Source organism: Homo sapiens, chromosome 4 (genome assembly GCF_000001405.40).
Source record: "Homo sapiens chromosome 4, GRCh38.p14 Primary Assembly".
Classification (NCBI taxonomy): Eukaryota; Metazoa; Chordata; class Mammalia; order Primates; family Hominidae; genus Homo; species Homo sapiens.
In genome coordinates this window covers 3405034-3425388 of record NC_000004.12, presented here as the reverse complement: position 1 = coordinate 3425388, position 20355 = coordinate 3405034, and the positions used below count along the sequence as shown (strand labels likewise).

The 20355-nt window shown below is 55.3% G+C and overlaps 1 protein-coding gene across 19 annotated transcripts in view, besides 5 other annotated features; it reads right to left on the bottom strand.

The window, feature by feature from the left end:
• Positions 1–20355, bottom strand: part of RGS12 (regulator of G protein signaling 12) — a 154023-nt gene that overhangs the window by 14525 nt on the left and 119143 nt on the right. For 18 of the 19 annotated variants that reach the window (NM_001394155.1, NM_001394154.1, XM_011513543.3 and 15 more), the window contains 9 exons: positions 11148–11317; positions 10545–10637; positions 9268–9411; positions 8297–8476; positions 7848–8001; positions 4671–4747; positions 2819–3013; positions 2411–2484; positions 1748–1874 (listed from right to left, as the gene is read on the bottom strand). In NM_001394155.1, coding sequence (NP_001381084.1) covers positions 1748–1874; positions 2411–2484; positions 2819–3013; positions 4671–4747; positions 7848–8001; positions 8297–8476; positions 9268–9411; positions 10545–10637; positions 11148–11317 — 1214 coding nt within the window. Of the gene's footprint in view, positions 1–1747; positions 1875–2410; positions 2485–2818; positions 3014–4670; positions 4748–7847; positions 8020–8296; positions 8477–9267; positions 9412–10544; positions 10638–11147; positions 11318–20355 lie in introns of those variants that run through there. The other variant, XM_047416056.1, reaches the window with a different exon arrangement.
• Positions 704–1203: an enhancer, noted in NCBI's record as "H3K4me1 hESC enhancer chr4:3425913-3426412 (GRCh37/hg19 assembly coordinates)". NCBI's record gives its function as "activates a minimal SCP1, AML or CMV promoter by ChIP-STARR-seq in naive H9 embryonic stem cells {active_cell/tissue: H9 hESC(naive)}" and the evidence as "EXISTENCE:reporter gene assay evidence [ECO:0000049][PMID:30033119]".
• Positions 797–948: a silencer, noted in NCBI's record as "fragment chr4:3426168-3426319 (GRCh37/hg19 assembly coordinates)". NCBI's record gives its function as "represses an EF-1alpha promoter that drives an FKBP-Casp9 reporter gene in an ReSE screen in K562 erythroleukemia cells {active_cell/tissue: K562}" and the evidence as "EXISTENCE:reporter gene assay evidence [ECO:0000049][PMID:32094911]".
• Positions 4470–4971: an enhancer, noted in NCBI's record as "H3K4me1 hESC enhancer chr4:3422145-3422646 (GRCh37/hg19 assembly coordinates)". NCBI's record gives its function as "activates a minimal SCP1, AML or CMV promoter by ChIP-STARR-seq in naive H9 embryonic stem cells {active_cell/tissue: H9 hESC(naive)}" and the evidence as "EXISTENCE:reporter gene assay evidence [ECO:0000049][PMID:30033119]".
• Positions 8107–9306: an enhancer, noted in NCBI's record as "MED14-independent group 3 enhancer chr4:3417810-3419009 (GRCh37/hg19 assembly coordinates)". NCBI's record gives its function as "activates an origin of replication core promoter dependent on BRD2, BRD4, P300/CBP and CDK7 cofactors, and independent of MED14, by STARR-seq in HCT116 cells {active_cell/tissue: HCT116}" and the evidence as "EXISTENCE:reporter gene assay evidence [ECO:0000049][PMID:35650434]".
• Positions 15134–16041: an enhancer, noted in NCBI's record as "H3K4me1 hESC enhancer chr4:3411075-3411982 (GRCh37/hg19 assembly coordinates)". NCBI's record gives its function as "activates a minimal SCP1, AML or CMV promoter by ChIP-STARR-seq in naive H9 embryonic stem cells {active_cell/tissue: H9 hESC(naive)}" and the evidence as "EXISTENCE:reporter gene assay evidence [ECO:0000049][PMID:30033119]".

Sequence of the window (20355 nt, the reverse complement as noted above, 5' to 3'; positions counted from 1 at the left end):
CTGCATGACTGTCCTAGGCTTGATGGAGTCACGCAGGAGATGGCCCCGAGGTGAGGCCTGCCTGACTGAGGCACACAAGCTGGGGCTGAGCCATGCTCCTGACATGGGTCCCGACTACACGACCATCCTAAGCTCGATGGAATCACGCAGGAGGTGGCAACCCTTGGTCGCTGCTACAAGGGGAACACTGACCCTCGGACGCTGCTATGAGGGAAATACTGACCCTCGAAACTGCTATGAGGGGAATACTGAGAGCAGATGTTCCCCTTTGTAAACAAGGAAGCAAAGACAGACAACTTTAGGACCAGGTTTGAGGCTGAAATGAAGCGCCACTAGCCACCGGGCTGGAGTTCTTGTCTCTGCATCAGAGCTCTCCTCTGGCAGAGAATCTGACTCTTCACCTGCCATAGTCACTGTTAAGAAAAGACATCTGAACATGTTTGGCATTCACGATCTGTCAGTCAGGGGAATGACAGCTGTCCAATGCCAGGCGGGAGAGGCTCTAAGCTCCTGAAGGGGCTGGTCCGCTGGGCAGGCGTGGTGGGCCCTGCGGGGGAAGCAGAGGAACTGCCCCAGGTCCCGCCTTCTCCACCACATTCGTGGACACAGGGGGCCACAGAATTCACTGGAGAGGTCAGGAGACAGCGTCCAAGGAAAAGCCACATCCCAAACAACCCATTCCACACGAATCCTCCATAGCCCCCACAGCCTCGGCAGCCGAGGGCCGCAGCTCACAGGGAACGAGCCTGACCGCAGCCAGCCCTTCCACCCTGGTGCCCCCCAACCATGCCACGAGCACGCTGCCACGACCAACCCCATTTTACAGTCAGGGAAACTGTGACACACAGGGGCTAAACAATTGCGCAGCGTCTCCCCAGAGTCGGCCAGAGGGGCACACCTGGGAGCCAGGCCAGGTCTGTCTCCCACCTGCAGATTTCTGGACTCCAGGATGGAGCCTGCAGCGCGGGGAAGAGGCTTCAGGTTACCCTCGGAGGTGGTGTCTGTAAATAATTTAATAGGTTCTTCTTGTTCACTTCAAAGCTCTTGAATAATTTTGAGTGTAGTTTCAGGGAAAACTAAAATCCTGAAAATACTTGAAATCATTGCTCCAATAAAGTTTTCAAGGAAAGAAGACTAGGCAGACACTGTGCCCGGAACCCCCACGCTCCAGAGCACCCTCAGCGGGGCCCAGCTCTCGCCATCTCGCGTGGCCTGCCCAGCACCTGCGGTCACCACCCCACGCGGTGTTTTCTTTCTTAACCCCATTCACATCATAATGGCGCAGCCTGGAAATGCCAGCTGAGTTCTTCCATCTACAAAGTGCAGGTGAGAATCAGGACATCTCCATGTGACCGTGCACTGGGGGCATGAGCACAATGCCCGGGCCCAGCAGGTGCAGTGGGGGCAGGGCCATCCGCACTCTCTTATCTGATCACATTGGCCAACAGCGGAGGATAGTCCAGGGTTGGTTGCTTTGTTTCTCATTTTGGCCTCCCTGGAGCAAAACCACCTCTCAAATATCAATTCTTTTTGGAATGACCAAGGTACAAATAAACCATGATGGCTCCCACTGCACAGAACGAGAACTGGGGATGGCAGAGGCTGTCTCCTCTCCTCCAAGGGGGACAACCAGATCAGGGGAAGACACCGCTTCTTGGTGTGCCCTCTTCAGTGAACAACACAGAGGCTGCCAAAGGGAACAGACAGTGCCTGCGGTGACGACGCCCGGGCCCCGTGCAACACTCACCAGCCTCACCAGCAGGCCACTGAGGTCCAGGCCGTATCTGGCCACCACGGGCCGCAGCACCTCCGTGACGGGCTTGGTGGGCTTGGCCTTGAGTCCCACTGACCGGTTAATCGGAACAAGATCCAGCCTGGTGGGGGATGAAAAAATTCACTACCAACTCATGTCAGCCCTCATTAGGAGATCAGTCTCACGAGCAGAACTACAGCACAGCCCCAGGCCGCCCTCAAGGCCTCGGTGTGCCCCCCAGTTCAGCCCCAGCTGATCAGAACGTGCCTTCCTCCACGTGGGAAAAGTCAGGCCAAGCAAGGGCTATGGTCTCCTCCTCCAGGGATAGCAGTGTCCTGCACAGCAGCCTGGCTACCTGTGGGGCATCCACCCTACAGAGAGCACTCCTGCCCCTCCCTCTCGGCATCTTAGGGGGCTGGGCTCACCAGGCCAGGGCAGTCCCTGTTCACGGGACAGGGAGGAGAGGGCGCCTCTCACCCCCGGGCTTGTAGGGGGGCTGCCTCGTGTGGGCCTCCACCCTCCCCCCGCCCCGACACCCCATCGTAGCCCAGCATGGAGCATCCACAGGCCGCCCGCTAAGCGCAGAGACCAGCAGGTGGTGGGCACACGGGGTTGGCTCTGGGAGCCTCAGGTGAATGACAGCGATCTTCCTCTTACCGAAACAAGGTGCGCTTTTCTAGGCGCAGGTCCCTTGACTCCAAGATGCTACTGTCTTGGTGCAGCACCAGAGGCTGAGGAACAGAGAGACCAGAATCAACGTGGGCACAGCAGGCAGCCCCCCAAACGCAGACCCACGTGCCCCAGGCACACAGCTGTGCAGAGCAGAAGAGCAGCTTCAAAAACAGCCATCCAAAGAAAGCGATCACCCTTTCCACACCAACCCAGCACCCACGTGCAAAGTGCTCCCAGCAGATAGCTCAGTTCAGATAATCCGGCCTCCGCCCCAGGCGCTGTTGAAATGAGGAGCGCAGGAGGGGGCAGCCTGAGGACTCTGACAAAGCTGGGGGCCAGGGAGCGGGGAGGTCATGGCCTGAGGGCAGCACGAGGGTCAGGCGGGCCCAGTACCTTGTCCCCGCCCACCAGGAAGAGGTCCGCGGCCGCCCCGTTGATGCCATGCCGCTCACAGAGTCCGGACAGGATGTCTTTGATGGAGAAGCCCGCCTTGACAGCCACCACGCAGGATGTCCCATCCGGGAGATGAATGCAGCAGTGCTTGGTGGCCTTGTCCTTCTCGGGTGCCAAAGTCCTGCAGGCCTCCGACTGGGGAGCAGCGAGACAAGCAGCCGTGAGGGAACCAGCGTCACAGGGGTGCGGGGCACCTCCCAGAGCAGCCCAGCTGGCCCAGGCCGCACGTGCTGGGGAGGCTGGCGCCCTGCCACGGTCCCACCTGCAGCTCCCCAGGTGCACACATCTCAGGCTCAGTCCACACTGCCTGAGGTGCTGGGTTTTGTGAATTAACACGAGAGAGCGGTCATCATTCTCTCAGCTCTGGGCCTCAAGGGCCATCGTGCTCAGAAGGCACATCTGGGCTTCTCCACCCAGAAGCAGGGCTGTCCTGCGGGGCCCACTGAAGCTGCCCTGTGAGGACCACTCCCTCCCAGGGCTCTGGGTTCCAGCACCCTGTCCTCTCTATACACAGCTCCCCATGCACATCGTTCCAATGGAAACGTCGCCTGGACTGTGACTTCGTCGGCACTGCCTTCCGGTAGTCTGAGGTCTCTTTTCCCTGAGCATTATTTCAGGAAACTAGTTTGTACAGTGGTAGGCTGGCTGCACAAGTGGTTCCCAACCATCCCCTTCCCTGTATCTGTGCCCCTCATAATGCGGCTCTGTGGCTCCTCCCATGAAGAGGTGGAGTCAGCCCCAGCCCAGACCTGGGTGGGCAGAAGGAGCGGCTCCAAGCCTGGGCCTCCAGAGGCCGTCCTTACTCTGCTCACTGTCAGGGTCCCTGAGCCGGCTGTGGGACGGGGTGAACTGGCCTCCGCTGAGTGAGGCGAACGAAGGGTCCTGTCAGTGCTCCTTCCCCAGCCAAGGGCCAGCCATGCAACTGAGGGCCTCTGGGACCAGCCAGCTGGCTCACGTGCCAGGTAACCAGAAACACACGGCAAGGCCGGCCAGAATGGGCAGAACCACCCAGGCGACCCAGACACCCAGCACAACAGTAATTGTTTCCAGCCTCTGAGTTTGGGGGTGCGGAGGTATTAGGCAACAAGAGCTAACTGATACCTGGTAAATCCTTACAGCTTTCAATGTTATTTGGAACAACTGAAGAAGAAATTATATTCTACATTCATTCCTGCCTGAAAATTTCAAATGACCAGGATGCTGGCAACCAGTGAGGTTTTCCAAAATTCCTATCAAACAACATCTAACAAGCTCACGAGTCCTGCCTGCGCCTGCTCATCTCCCTCATCTGCTGGAAACTGGGGCCAGGACGAGCACCAGCCAAGCAGTGAGCAGGTGTGAGAGGGTGTGGGTGAGACAGGCGGCCCGCAGGCAGAGGGGTAAATCCTGCAGTGTGGGAGTGGGTGGGATGCTCACGCGCTGAGACAGGGAGCGCCTGATTTCGACACCTTCTGTTGATTCTTAGTGGGAGTTCACAAAAACTAAATTACAACAAAAAGACTTAAGAAATAAATCCAAAGATACTTTGAGTTCCCTCCCTCGTATAACTAATAGTTTTTCGTGCCCTCTCAGGAGCCCTAGGCTGGGGGACCATGAGGCCGGGGCCTGATGGGGCACTGGGCCACCCTGCACTTTGCCACTGTGCCTGGGCCGGCACCCGAGCCTTGTCCCCCAGCTTTACAAAGTGAACGCTGAGTTTTGTAAACACAGGTTTCCATGGGAGAGAGGTGTCATCAGTCAGCTGGTGGGGACACCCCTGAGGCCTGTGGGACGAGGGGAGACAGTGACTCACCAGGTCCAGGCTCCCCGCAGAGGACACAGAGCCCTGCGACTCTCGGCGACACAGGCCTCCATTGGCATGCAGGGCGTCTTGACAGGGGAAACACAGTGACTCACGTCAATCAGAACCCTGTTTATTCGGTCACATCTCCCAACCCTCTGCCCCCTTTAGGCTGAGCAGACAGACGCCAGGAAGCCCCCCCCACCCATCCCCCACCAGGCATCACTTTGCCGTCTCTGGTGGAGACGAGTCACATGTGTCTTCCTAACCCTGGAAGCCAGTCAGGGACCAACAAGGCTCTACCCACCATGCAGCAGAGATGCTACTCTCTGCCCTGTCTACTGCCACATCCTGGCTCCAAAACATGCTTGGCTCATGGCAGGTGCCCAACAAATCACATCAGTACGTGCAGTTACACAGCACAGACCCAGGTGCATGTCCCGGTAAGGGCCTTTCCTCCATTCCATCTGGAGCTTTCATCCCCAAATGTAGTTTCTGGGCCTAACTGGAAACCCCCAACTGTGGCAACAGCCAGCGCTCTCAGCCGGATGCGGCCTCCAGACCCACTCGGTCCACGTCCTTTTCCTCTGACGTCCTGACATGAACCGTAATGAAGTGTCAATTTTCACCAACCTCAACTAACTATATTCTTAGGCTAACCTACAAATCATGAAAATTCGGACACAGGACTTTTCAAACAGCACCTGCTCCCAAACCACACCGCTGCACATGGGCTCTGGGGCCTGAGGAGAGAGGGGAAGGCAGCTCCCAGACCTACTGGCCTGCAGACTGCAGCCACCTTCCACAGGAACAGATGCCCAGGCCACATCCTGGGCCAAGATCAGAATGTGTTACTTCTGGGGGTGCCTGCAGTCTGGGTTTTATTTTTTGGTTGGCTTTGTGTTTTTTAGAGACAGAGCGTCGCTGTGTCCCCCAGGCTGGAGTACAGTGGCACAATCATAGCTCACTGCAGCCTCCAACTCCAGGACCCAAGCAATTTTCTTCCCACCTCAGCCTCCCCAGTAGCTAGGGCAACAGGTGCGCCACCACACTTGGCTAATTTTTAATTTTTTTTTGTAGAGATGAGTGTCTTGCTGTGTTGCCCAGGCTGGTATTGAACTCCTAGACTCAAACGATCCTCACACCTCGCCCCACCGCCAAAGCGCTGGGATTTAAAGGCATGAGCCACCAGGCGCCACTGCTATCAAGGTTTGCTTTCATTTATTTATTTATTTATTTATTTTGAGACAGTCTTGTTCTGTCACACAAACTGGAGTGTAGTTCTCCACTCACTGCAACCTCTGCCTCCCGGGTTCAAGCGATTCTCATGCCTCAGCCTCCCAAGTAACTGGGACTGAAAGTACCCACCATCACACCCAGCTAATTTTTTTTTTTTTTTTGAGACGGAGTCTCGCTCTGTTGCCCAGGCTGGAGTTCAATGGCACAATCTCAGCTCACTGCAACCTCCACCTCCCGGGTTCAACTAATTCTCCTGTCTCAGCCTCCTGAGTAGCTGGGATTACAGGCATGTGCCATCACATCTGGCTAATTTTTGTATTTTTAGTAGAGACGGGGTTTCATCATGTTGGCCAGGCTGGTCTCGAACTTCTGACCTCAGTTGATCTGCCCACCTCAGCCTCCCAAAGTGATGGGATTACAGGCATGAGCCACCGTGCCTGGCCCCTAATTTTTTTTTTTTTTTTTTTTTTTGGATTTTTAGTAGAGCCTTACCATGTTGCCCAGGCTGGTCACCAACTCCTGAGCTCAGGCAATCCGCCTGCCTCGGCCTCCCAAAGTGCTGGGATTACAGGCGTGAGCTCCCACGCCTGGCTCTATCAAGGTTTTCAAAGCCCTTTGCAGATCTGCCAGGTATGGGGATGGGCACGAGTGGATGGACTGTCTGAAGCGAACACTCCCATCTCCCAGGTACTCGGGAGGCCTGGCCCCACCTAATAACATAGTGTCCATCTCCCAGGTGGCCTCCGACAAAGGTGAACTCTGCAACTCTCAGCTGCCTTTGCTCGGAGAAGAGCACCTCACAGCATGGCCAGAAGCTCAGGGCTGCCCACGTCAAGCCCTCACCAGCGCGTCCTTCAGCGCCCCGGGAACAACGCTTCCCCCTGCAGGCGGGGAGCAGCCACGCACAAATGCTTGGCACTGCAGGGCACACACAGGAGCCGCAGCCACGGAGCGCAGAGCACCCTGCTCACCTGCCTCCACCAGGGCCATGCCAGCTGGTGCTATCGCAATCACCTCACTGCCTGATTTAAACTTGGAGACCACAGGCTAAGTGCCAGTCCCCTGCCTTCAGGCAGGACACTCATTCCTGAAAACTAATCCCTTTCCCAAAAATCTCTAGAGAAGAAAATCTTCCCAGTTCTCCCCTATGTGCTTTTCAGCACCTGGTACAGAACAGCCTCATCTTCGCCAGCGTTCAGCATGGGCATCTCCATGCCCTCTGCCCTGCCACCTGCCAAAACCACCCGGCTGGTGTCTGGAGCTCGGCCAGGAGCCGCCAAGGGCCCTGCAGCCCCACCCCCTGGCGCCCTGGGAGCCGTCTCTCTGCCTAACTTTTGTTACAGGAAGTCTCAGATGTGCGAAGAAAAAAGGGACAGAGCATCCAGAATGGGCAGCCCCCAATATCAAATACCAATCTTAACTTGAAAAATGCTCACTACTCCAACTATGCTACTACATTTTAAAAAACCACACACATGTAAAAGGCACATGGACCCTGACATCTACCTAGGAAAAAGCCCTGGCAGAGAACCAAGCTGCCACTGGGGGAGACACCCAATAGCACATTTGTGTGTTCCTATTTTTACTTGATTGTATTTTCCAAATTTTCTACCAAAAACACCTATTACTTGGATAGTGAAAAGCAGGAGAGGACACAGATGTTCAGCCGCCACTGTGTGGGGTAGGCCTGAGGTAGGCATGGGCTGAAATGTATTGAGCCCTTTTCTCTGGAAGATTCTGGAGCAGCCCTGCTGCCCTCTGGCTGGCTGACAGGTCGTGTCCCCAGACACAGCGGCATTCCTTATTCATTCAGAGAAGCTTCCTCGACCCGCCAACAGGGCCTCTCACTGCACACATGGCCCAAGGTCACCGCCAACCACCAGAGCGACGCCAGGACGGGGACGCGGCTGCCTGGCCTGGACACCACAGCCCAGGAGCCACCCCACAAACCGTCTGCGTGGTCCCCGTGCTCCCTCTTTTTCTGGGACCTCCCGGTGCTCCTGGTCCGCGACCACGAGAAAAACGCGCCTTTCCGCTTCTTCTCGCTGTCCTCATCCCCCAGCTCTTCATTCAGGGATCGGCCGGATTTTGATTTTCCACTTAACTGTCATCAAATGGAAACCTTGGTTAAAACAATGTGAAGTTATTTTACTATTACGTTAAGTGCAAAGGAGGCAATACTGAGCTGTAAACACAAGCACTCTATGGGATGGTATCACTTCTACAGGTCATGGTGTGGCCCTGACAGGACTCCAGACAGCAGCTGGAACTTTCCAGCATGGAGCGTCACCCACCACTGGTGAAGACGCCGACAGGGCCTCTTTTCACTCCCCACAGAACAGCTCTCAGCTGATGACACACAACCCACAGGGGCGTGAGGCCAGCCTCGGGGAGGTCACCTTTTTTGGCGTGGACACACTGGAGTGGTCTGAACCGAGGCTGTGCTTGGAAGCCGGGCTGCTGGGGACCTGCTGCGAGTCCGGGAGTGCACGGCCCTCCACTTCCGCCAGGATGCATTCCTGGTACAGCGGGGACTTCAGAAAGCGAGTGTAGCTATCAAACTTCATGAGATTGAAGATCTGGGGAGAAGATGTAAGGTGGGACAGTCACAGGAGGGACCCAGACATGCAGCCTCAGGCGCGAGGCTGCTTGGCGACCTGTAGGCAACCACTGGCCCTGTCCTGAAAGGACATCGTTTCAGTCCATTTTCCCCCGCCAGCCCTGAGGGTACTTAAGAGTTATTTCCAGTGTGCCTCTATATCTGAGTCTTCTTTCTCATAACGAACCAGCCTTTATCACTCTTAAAATTAAGTGAATCCTGACAACTTACAGAAGCCATCAACACGAGCAGACCCCAGAGAACTTTTATTTTGTTAAATAAGATTAAAACCAAAAGCGACTAGAAATCTTACAGTAGACTGCTTTGAAAATGCCACCCTATGCTTCTGTGAACGTGACCCACGTGCCGCAGCGACATGCACAGGCACGTCTCGAATAGCCTGGGGCCTAATGCCCATGACCACAGCAATGTCCTACGATGCAAAACTTCAAACGCAGATGCGCCATCCCCCAGGCAGGTGTGATTCCACACACGCACAGGATCGAAACATGAGCCAGCGTGAACAGCCGGCTCATTGCAGACAGACACGCAGTGGTTCGGGACTTATTTCATGGCCCTACTGAAAGCCCCACTTTCTGTCTGCGTTTCTCTACCCTACTGAAAGCCCCACTTTCTGTCTGCGTTTCTCTACCTGCGTCTGTGATGCTCTCGATCCACTGGCCTGCCTGATAGCACGTGTTCTTTGAAGGTGGACCCTATACCCCGAGCCCTAGCCTGGACTCCCCACAAGCTCCCACAGCCTGCGGTTACCTGCAGCTGCTGCTCCTTGAACATGTCTGGGTGAGGTGCGCGGAGGACGTCGTCTGCTAGCTGGGCCTGGCTGTCGATGTTGACCGGGGTGGTGGCTTTGCTGCAGAGAAACTTACTGAAAATCTCCCGGGCCCTGTAGGAAAGCTGACAGGAAAGGCACCTGAGCAGCCCGGCAAGGCTTCCTCTCCCCGCACTCCTGCTGCCTGCCAAGGCCCGACACCCCCGGGCTCTACAGATGTGTTCTCACGGGCCCCAGTAAATACCTCTTGCTTGAATAAATAAATAAAAGTGTGGCCAGAATGCAGCAGCACTGCGCGGGCTCCTCTACGATTGTTTAAACGGATACTTAAAGTGTCCCAAAGACCCGGGCGATGCTAGCCCAGCAGCAGCTGCGCAGGGGCAATACTGCCGTGTGTCGCCACACACCTGGTCTTGGCAAGGTGGGAGTGCAGGAGAGCAGCGCCCTCTGAGCATTGCGAGCAGACGAAAGCAGCCCCGAAGCCTGGAAGCCAGGCCACAGGCCAACTGAGGAAACAGCAGCCAGGCCGGGCCAGGCCAAGGCGTCTCTCCCAGGCTTCTCCTGCACCTCCCACGAGGCGCAGGAGGAGCTGCGAAAGCACGGCCCGGGATGCCCTCCTGCCTCCAATTTGCTTTCAAATTCCCCTAAATACACGTTCCTTCCTCAGAATTCCAGCACACTGAAAGACACCCCATCTGCTGTGAAAGCTGTGGCTGAGGGCGTTATACAAACCAGGTTTAGGCAAAATTAAATATCATGTATATTTAAAAATTTATTCTGAAAAAGAAATGATTTTTTTCAAGCCATGTGAAAATATTTTATCATCCACTTTCCAACTGCTCTAGATGCTCCCTGCACCGAGCCAGCCTCCAATGAGGCCACGCGGCCCTCTCACACACACGCGGCCCTCTCACACGCGGCCCTATCACACACGCCCCTCACACACACGCGGCCCTCTCACACACGCCCCTCACACACACGCGGCCCTCTCACACGCGACCTCTCACACGCCCCTCACACACGCGACCTCACACGCCCCTCACACACAGGTGGCCCTCTCACACGTCCCTCTCACACGCCCCTCTCACACACGCCCCTCACACGCCCCTCACACGCAACCTCTCACACGCCCCTCTCACGCCCCTCACACACACCCCTCACATGCCCCTCACACACGTGGCCCTCTCACACACCCCTCACATGCGTCTCTCTCACACGCCACTCTCACACAGCCCCCACTTCCCAAGCGTGGACTTACCTCCTTTTTGTCATGTGCAGGAACATGATTAAAATATTCACAGGCCTGCCAGAATAAAATGTTTTCTTCACTGAATTCTTTCCTTAGAAAATCCTAAGAAAGACAAAGACACCATTTATTAACACTGACACAGGGTCCTCCTTTTTCCTACTTCCCCTTCTACAGAAACCACGGGGTCACTGGCTGCTCAGTGAGCTGCCCGAGGGCCTGGAGAGAGAAACCTCATCGCTGCCCAGCACTTTAGGGAACCGCACTGCTGCTTCCAGCTGTTTCCCCAAAAGCAAAACATCTCTTTGAAGAGCTGGCAACAGGCACCTGGCTTCTTAACACAGATAGGAAGCTCCAGTGCTGCGGGCTGCAGAGAGACCCCAGTAGAGAGCGGGAGGGCCAGGGACGCTCCCTGGGGGCAGAACCAGGGGCAGGATTCAACCCACCCTCCTCTGAGCTCTTGAGAGGGTGGCGGTCCAGGGAGGGGAGACCCCTGCCACGGGGCTGCTCAGGGCCCGCAGGGTGCCGCTGTCTCTAGGGCGGCCCACAGATCCTGCTCGGTAGTCTCTGCAGAGCACAGACCGCTCCGCTGCTCCTGGGCCCTTCCCTACTCACAGAGAAGTAGCGGACACCGACGGGGTCCTGCAGCAGGCGCTCAAAGGACACGGCCCAGCTGGCGACCCTCCTCTCACGCAGGCGCCGGCAGCTCTGCACGCTGGGGAGGCTGGCATTGCTGCTCAGGCTGTTGTTGCTGACGCAGTCCTTCAGGTCGGCGCCCGTCAACTCTGCGGGACCAGCACAGACAGCACCTGCACCCCTGCCCTCCGCCCCGGCCCAGTGACTGCTCTGCCCGCCCACAGGAGACCCTGGGACACGCAGCAAGCTCTGTCCCCTCCAACACCCATTCAGTCAACAACTATGCACAGCACACCTACCACCTGCCAGTGCATTCTACACACAGGGATGGAGCAGGGAACAAAACACAGACCCCAACCTTGAGCGGCTGCACATGTGTGTGCACGAGCACACACACATGTTCACATGTGCAGGCCCACACAGCACCCTTGCACGCACACTCATATGCTCACACGTGCACACTCGCCCAAGCAACAACAAACTACAGCCACAGGGTTGAACAGGAAAAGCAACTAACCTTACACAGGAGCATGTGCACACAGAGCACTAAGACCATCATGGCAACAAGATGTTTCCCAAACAGGCTTGCTAGAGCGAAAGCAGCTGGGCGCGGGGCGCCGCGTATGCCACGTGAGTTACGTCCTGACCCACGGTGCCCTCGGGAGCGTGCTCAGTCGAAGGGGGCACGAGGCTCACCTTCCGGATGCGAAGCCCACACACCCGTGACTGCACACTGCTCTGCATGTGGGCTCCTTCTCAACACGAAACTCTCAGGCACAGTGTCCAGAGCTAAGCCCTCAGCCACGCATGTCGGCTCGGCGGCTCATTTACAGGAGACCCGATGTGGGATATGGCACAGCGCGCTCCCAGGACACCGGATCCTGCCTGACGTGTCTGCAAAACGGCCCTCAGTAGCCTTTGGTTCCCAGTATCTCCTGAGCTCTCGAATAAAGAGAAGGGAGGTCCCCAGGAAATCCCCGTTCATCACCCTTGTCCACTGGATGCGAGCAGTGTGGGGGCGCCCCCGTCCCTCCTGACGCGAGCAGTGTGGGGGCGCCCCCGTCCCTCCTGACGCGAGCAGTGTGGGGGCGCCCCCGTCCCTCCTGACGCGAGCAGTGTGGGGGCGCCCCCGTCCCTCCTGACGTGAGCAGTGTGGGGGCGCCCCCGTCCCTCCTGACGCGAGCAGTGTGGGGGCGCCCCCGTCCCTCCTGACGCGAGCAGTGTGGGGGCGCCCCCGTCCCTCCTGACGTGAGCAGTGTGGGGGCGCCCCTGTCCCAGAGTGGCCGGCCTGGCCTGAGCCCAAGAAGGGATGTGGGCCAGTGTGAGCCCAGCTTCAGGGACCGCTGCCCACCGTGCCAGAGCACGTATGTCTCCTCTGTGAGCATAGGGTGTCCCACACGGGCTGTCCTTAGCCTGCAGCTGAGCCATGCCCTGCTGACCACAGATGACGTGTGACAAGGTGGCCACTAAACCTGTGTTGTTAAGAAGCCCTGGGCTTTGGGCTTGGTTTTCTGCTGCAGCTTTATGGAATGCAGCTGACTGACAGAGCAGCCTCACAGAATGTTCTCAGCAGCATAATAAAATACGCTATGTTCCCCTCCTGCCCCTTCACCAGCCTCCTGTGGCACGGTGCGCAGGATAAGCCGCCCAGGCTGGCACTGCTGTAAAGTCAAGGCCACAGGACTGATCCCAGCGGACGAGCTGATGGGCTCCAGCTCCAGGCCAGCAAATAGAACACATCTTATTATCAGCAAGGGGCCAGGGGTAGAAAGAGACCAGGAGGGGGTCAGTGAGGCAGCATCAACTCCTCTCAGGGGCAGAAGCGACACTAAACCTTATGGATTCAGCCCAGTCTGCAGACGTGCTGTAGGCGACAGGCAGAGGCCTGGCAGGAGGCTTCCAAGGAGGCCACAGCGTGGGCCCCGCTAATCCAGAGAAAAGTGGAGCCCTAGAGCCCAGGAGACCAAACCAGGGCTTTGATCCAACAGTGTCCCTCATGGTCAGCATGGCAGCCAGAGGCTACGCTCGGCAGGAGTCATTCAAAGTGCGAAGAGCATTTAGATTAAAAAAGAAAATGTTAAAGAATAATCAAATAATGTAAACTGCTATAGAAAAAAATTAAAAGAAGACCGAAAGGAAGTTCTGGGATAGGATCAGAAACACGGTGGTAATGTTTCCTTGAATCCACCATGCTGTTGATCTGTTATAGATCAAATGTGTGACCGCGGTGGCCGCCAGCACGCACTGAAGTTTCAGAGGCCTGCGGCTGGGGCTCACACGGAAGCCCTGACTCCGAGCTGCGGTGGAAGGGGCGGCACGCACTGCAAGAAGACGCGCACCAGCGCTCACACGCAGGACAGGGCGGCCAAGCCAGGAGGGCTGGGGCCAAGGACAGAAGGACAGGGGCCATGTGAGGCTCCCTCAAAGAATCCCAACATCCAAGACTCCCCCCCATGTGGCAAGTGCCCCGTTCTGCATGTAAGCCAGGTGTGAAACTCTCACACACACTCAACTTGCACACTCACTCTCTCTGGGGCAGGGGTCCTTGGAGTGGGCTGACTCTTTGTGCTTGCCTAATATCCTGTCACCAGGGAAGTGAGGAGCAAAACATCACAGACAGGAATTCTCCCTAAATGGACATATCACGCCGATACTTGCCTATGGGTGTCTTGTTAGAACCACACAAGTGGAGCGTGAAAGCTCCCGTGGAAAGCTAAGCAGAAATGAGGGGAACAAACAAGATGAGCAAGACGCCAGAGCAGGCCAGCCTAACACGAGAACACACACAGACCACAATCCCGAACACGCAGAGCCAGACAGGCCTAACACGAGAACACACACAGACCACAATCCCGAACACGCAGAGCCAGACAGGCCTAACACGAGAACACACACAGACCACAATCCCGAACACGCAGGGGACAGCATCGGTGTCACCTGCAGGACACAACAGAGTACAGAAACAAACCCTGAGTGTCTAAGTCACGGTCAGGGTAGTGAGTGGGGTGCACGGGGAAGATGACCTCTGAAAAACTATCTAGTCGGATCTCTTCCTTCCAGCACACACTGAAACAAATCCCAATGAATCAAAGATTTAAGTGTAAATTAGAGAAATACCAGAAGAAAATGTGGGATGATCTTTTAAAACATTGGAGTGAGGAAAGCCTCCGGAAGGAAGACACGAAGCCCAGAGCCACGAAGGCAACACTGATACAGTGCACGGCACAGAGGCGCAAATCTCAGTAGGGAAAAGCACCATCAGCCAAGTCCCTGGACAGGAAACTGTGGGGCACCGGCCACACATCACACAGGTGGCGGGCTGGCTCCCTTTTCTACATCAGAGCACCTAAACGCCAAGAAGAAAACCATCAACAAGCCAAAAGGAAAACAGAAGGGTACAGGCAGCCACCAGGTAGGAGGAGGCCCCCGGACACTCGTAGGTTCACTGGCCTCATCACAGAACGCCAGCCATGAGCCTAAGCCTCAGGCTGTTTGTAGCCATCCTCCTGGCCAAGATCACGATGGCAGTGAAGTCTGAGCCAAGAGGCACCTTCTGCACTGCTGGGAGGAGCAAACGCAGATCAACCCCTCTGATTATATTGATCAAACATGAAGTATAAATGCCCAGAGCCGGCTACTGCTGCCGGGGTGCACTTCGTTCATCAGCCACGGTGAAGCTGTAGGACCTCCCGCCCAGTGCTGGGAGACGGAAGACCAGAGCTGGCTGGACAGCCCCCCCAAAGGCACAGAATACACAATGGCACGCCCTGCACCAGAAACAGCCTCGGGGGCCGATCCTGTTCTGTGTACATTCCAGTGCATGGGCACATACTACCTATTTAAAAAATAAGATCATGCAGGCTGGATGATCACTTGAGGCCAAGAGTTTAAGACCAGCCTGGGCAACACAGTGAGACCCTATCTCTACAGAAAATGAAAATAAATTAAAAAATTAGCTGGGCAGGGTAGCAGGCACCTGTGGTCCCAGCTATTCCAGAGGATGGCTTGAGCCCAGAATTCGAGGCAGCAGTGTTGCTAACCTTGCTATATTTTATGCTGACAAATGAGGCAATCCTCATGAATGAAGTTTCTGCATTATGAGCACCATGACATTTTTCCTCCAGCTTTTTTTCCTGAGACAATAAAGGCTAGCTGAGAACTGAGGGAGAAATAGACGTTAACTGGCCTCCAGGGAGCAAGGGAGAACTTCCATGACAGGACAAGCCACGCTGAGCTGGGCAGAGCAGGGAGCCAGCACGGAGCAGCACGAAGTTCACCCTGGGGGACAGTGATGAGCAAGAGACTGCAGGGTCCCTCTGGCTGCCTGGAGGGTGGCCTGGAGGCTGCCTAGGCGAGGCCCAGCTGAGGGGCCCTGGGAAGAACCAGGACGGGAAGACAGGGGAGGCAGAAAGGAGGCTGCCCCACTGCACGCTGTGGCTGGCACAGCTCAACCCCCCACGGTTGCTGACGCTTTTGCTCCTCAAACAAAAGGTGTTTCAATTCCAACACACAAGCACGGTGACGTGAACCGTCTGCCTCCCTTGCTGCCGGTGGAGGGGAGATGGGCCTCTCCCTGGTACCATGTGGAAGTCCCACACCAGCCCCCGGGCCCACCTCCCCTGTTCCCTGGCCACTCCCTAGGCCTTGCCGCCTCCCTCAGCAATGGGACCAGCTACCCACAGGGCTGCTCTCCCCATTCCCACACTGGTGTATTTGTGGAATGAATGAATGGTGACTGATATAAATTCTGAGTGAAAGATGACTGGTGTATTGACTAACATCATGTTCAAAAGTTTTGGCAGATACTAATTATTTTCTAAGACTCACAAATCAATAACTGACCCTTTAAAAGTCTAATCAAGAAAGAAACATGATTGTATTTTAAACAGTAAATGATGACCTGTCTGGTGTGCTCGGCTCCCCTGTGCCTGGTGTGCCCGCCCAGGGAATCTGTATTCCCTCCCCAGTGTGCTCCTGCTCCTGCCCTTGGGGTCCTGCAGAGGCAGATGCTGTGTACAGGAAACCACATGGCAGACCCTCCTGAGAGAGCACAGCCTCGGGTACAGAGGAGCACGGCAGAGAGCAGATGCAGGCATGGCTTGGGGGCGGTGTGGGTGCCAGACCCTCTCCTGGGCCTGCCCAGGCTCCAGGACCCACTCAAGTGAGAGTTGCTTTAGCTGCAAATAAACCATTTCCAAGGAAGGGAAAGAGGTTGCAGTCCATGCTCTTCTCTGGTATTGCAAAGACAGGAGGCGTCACCTTGCCAATTGCTCCCAGCACTGCTGGGGGTGAGAGCCACGCCCCCTTCACACAATCTCATTTTGTAGCTTTCTGCTGACATAGGAATTGTGCTCCAGTAATTCCTCCCAGTGTGAGGCCACAGCAAGCGGGGGCCTCAACTCAAGCACAGGAGCCTGGAGAGTAGAGGAAGCAGACACATTACCTGGAGGAGCCGGAAAGAGAAGCCTCTGGGCCACAGCCCCGGCTGCCCATGCCACCCCTGCCTAAGGATCAGGACAGAAAACTCATGACCCAGCTCCTCAGCTTCCCGAGGGCACAGACGGGACCTGCTGGGCACGTGGACCCTCCTGAGTCCAGGCACTGAGTCCAGCGATTCGCAAAGGACAGTGGAATCTCCAGCAACACACACGTTTTTCAAAAACTGGCTACCGGAAAACGTCCACCCGGAATTCTTGCAATCATAAGCTCTCCTGGTGAATTTTTACGATTCCATCTGGACAAAATTCATGCAGGTGACTTGCAGAGGAACACAGCAGAGCCAGGTGCGAGGCAGAGCCCCCTGAGCACCATTTTTCTTTGCTACGTGGCTCAACACACACGGAAAGTCGTCTCCTCTCTAACACTCACTTTCAATTATGGATTTCACAATTCACAGCACTTTCATGTGCTCTGGAGTTGTTCTCGTCACGTGGAAAATAGTGCACAGTCACAGAAGGCCTGACCTTGAACCCTGAGCAGCACTCACCTAAAATAAAATTCCTTGCACAAGCCACCATTCCGACCCCAGCTCCAAGGCCAGAACGCGGGAGGGATGCCACCACGTCTGTAACTCACTGGCCTGCTTGCAGTGGCTTGCCTGATTCTCTGGTGCTGAACACGTGAGTCAAACCCACACTTGTGATCTAAGCCAAAGAAGAAAAGAGATCCACAAAACACAGCCCACATCCCAACACCACCTTAGAGAACACGGTCCAGTTTACGGTATTGTTGTGGGATTTTTTCTTTCGACTGACCCATCTGAGTCAAAGAAATGCTTTCCTGGTGAAAAAGAGTTTAAAGTCTGTTTAGATTTGCTGCTAATTGGAAAAGCCGCCATGTATATATTGGTGGGTCAAACATGTAGGTTACGTTACAAATGTTAATACCGTAAGATGAAAAGTTTGCAGTTAGTTCTGTAACACACGGCCCGGGCCCGTTGTTATCTCATCCAAACCGTAACCTCAAACACTCTGACTCTTTAAGTCATAACTCCAAGTCAGATCACGAAACACGTCACTGCACAGGCACCCCTATGGGCCCCTCATCCCCGACACAATCCCGCTGCGGCAAACATACCTGAAGACCACATAAGTCAGTGTGCCCCTGACAACGCGACAAGGTACGCAGATGGGGACAAGGGACTTTACCTGGGTAGAGCTGATAAGAGCCACTGTGATGCCACTTAACCAAATACTTCCAACCATGCACTGCAAACCACCCCTCTGAGTCCATACCAGGGTCAGCCGGCAGAGCCCGGGCGGCCCCGAGCAAAGGCCTGCGTCCCACACAGGGACATTGCTCCTGAGCTCACACTCCCAGGAGGCCAATTATTGCAGTTTCTCCCGCGATCCCAGCACACGGCTGACAAAGACGGCTCTGCCCTGCCTGCACGCAGGCTCACGGATGGGAAGCCAACAGGAGACGTCGCACGAAGCCTTGCCGAAGACGCATGCATAATTCACAGCAGCCCCTCAGCTGCTGCCGCCACGGAGCCTGAATTATTGAAGGCGGGCCGAGCACAGCTAGGTGACTGCACGTGGCATAAACACTGCAGATGGAACCCCGGCCTCCCAACACGCTACTCCACTTCAGCAATTTGTGCTTTATTAAACAAGCAGTGGCAAAGGAAAAAAAAGTACTTGTAGGCTTTTTGTATAGTTTTTAACTCTTCTTTCCACATGTAACTTAAATTAAAAAATTTTTAGTCCCATAAATATAAAACCTATCTTTTTATAAGCAGGTGATCACTCAAACAGCGTGTTATCAGGAATATGTATTTAGTTAGGAAATAAGCAACTATACCAAACTGGACCACCTGTGAACCATAAGGAACATTTTTACAACCAAGCAAAATATGCCAACTCACAGACATTTCTGAACAACCTGTGGGCATCCTGGAGGCGGCCTGCCCACCACATGGGGTGGTCCCTTTCCGAGGTGGGGTGCCACACCCACCTCTGTTGCTCCTGCCCCCAGGCCGAGCAGGGCCTCATCTCTGAGAGGATCTCCTGGGTCTTGGTTCAAGGGTTAGGAAACATCCGCTAACACCACAGGTGAGGCCCAGCAAAGTTCCCTGGAGAGGGCGGGTGACACACAGTCTCCATTTTTCTAGGACACTGCACTCTCTGCAGTTAGGACAGAAGCGGCCCCCGACAGCAACTGCAGGAATGGGCATGGCCATCCCACTGACACTTCATTACACAAAGCTGGTTGGTGGCAGGGTTTGGCTGAAGGCGCTGTTTGTTGACCCCATCTACTGACTCCCGGATGGACACTGCCACACAAGCAGCTCTAACTTGATGGAAGCTCCACTACAAAGGCATCCAATCAAGCTCCACATTTTCCAAGAAAAAAGTCCTGGAAAGGCTGTAGAAGGCAGAGCTTGGCCTCATTCGGCCCACCCGTCCATCATGTGCTTCTTGGCCTCCAGTTTCTGAGGCACAGGAAGCCCTTCTCCCCCATTCACAGGGCGGCCCAGGCAGGAGGCGTGGGTGCAGGCTCTGAGCCCGCCCTGGCCGGAGTTCTGCACTCCTTTCTGGCCGGTCACCTCGGCGGGGCCCCACAGTCCCGTGGGCCTCAGTCCCCGTGTCCATCTGCGGCTGGCAGGGGCTTGCAGGGCTGTTGTGAGGGCCAGGAGAATGAAGATGGGCAAGTGGCCGAAGCCCAGATGTAGGCACTATCAGTGCAGCTAAATGTGCTTATGGGGGAGCCGGGACATACGAGCACCGAGATGCCACAGGAAACCTTTGTTCACACCCAAACCAGCCCTCTCCTAGACAATGTGTGCCATCCTTTTTGGGGGGGCAACTTTTTCTTTTGAAATAATTTCAAACTTGCAGAAAAATTATAAGAATAATAAAAGGGACTCCCATATCCGTTTGCCCAGATTCACCAAATGTCCGCATTCTTCCTGCTTGCTGTATCATCCCGTCCCTCTCCCTTCCGCCCATTCTCCCTTCCTCTAAACACGTTCACACCTGCACACACGCAACCTTTTTCCAGACTATCTGAGATTAAGTTGGAGACAGCATGCCTCTTTGCCCCTAAACACGTCAGTGTAGATTTCCTAAGAAGGTGGACATTCTCTCATAACCAAGTACCGACATCAAAATCAGGAAATTTAACAAGCCATCTTCCAGCTTCGTCAATCCTGTCCTTTCCAGCTCTTTTCCCCAGAGCAGGGTGGAACTCAGGGTGGCTGCTGCTGTGTGTCTGCAGTCTCCTTCCATCTGGAATGTTCCCCAGCCTCTCTGTGGTTCCAACCCTGACAGAGGCTGGTTATTTTTAAGACTGCCCCTCAGTTTGGGCTTGGCTGATGTTTCTTTGTGACTGGCTGGAATGCCCTGGAAGCCATGCGGTGTCCCTCTGGGACCTCCTCTGAGGAGGCACGTGGTGTCAGTTTACTGCAGGGTGGGTGACGCTGGCTCTCATCATGTGGCTGGGGCACCAGATTTGTCCGCTGTCGTTTCTAGGGTTCCCTGGTGATAATAAGCTTCGTGCAGAACTACCCCGAGGCTCTGTAAGTGTCTTGCTTCGCATCAAGCCTGAGTCCACAACTTTAGCACCCTCTGATGATTTCCTGACGCACTGTTCAGCTGTATTCTGCTCTAAGAGCCCCCCTCCTGTTACTACAAAGCCATTTATCTGTGTTAGTGTGGACTTGCTGGGTTTTTATTTTAGTCCATGG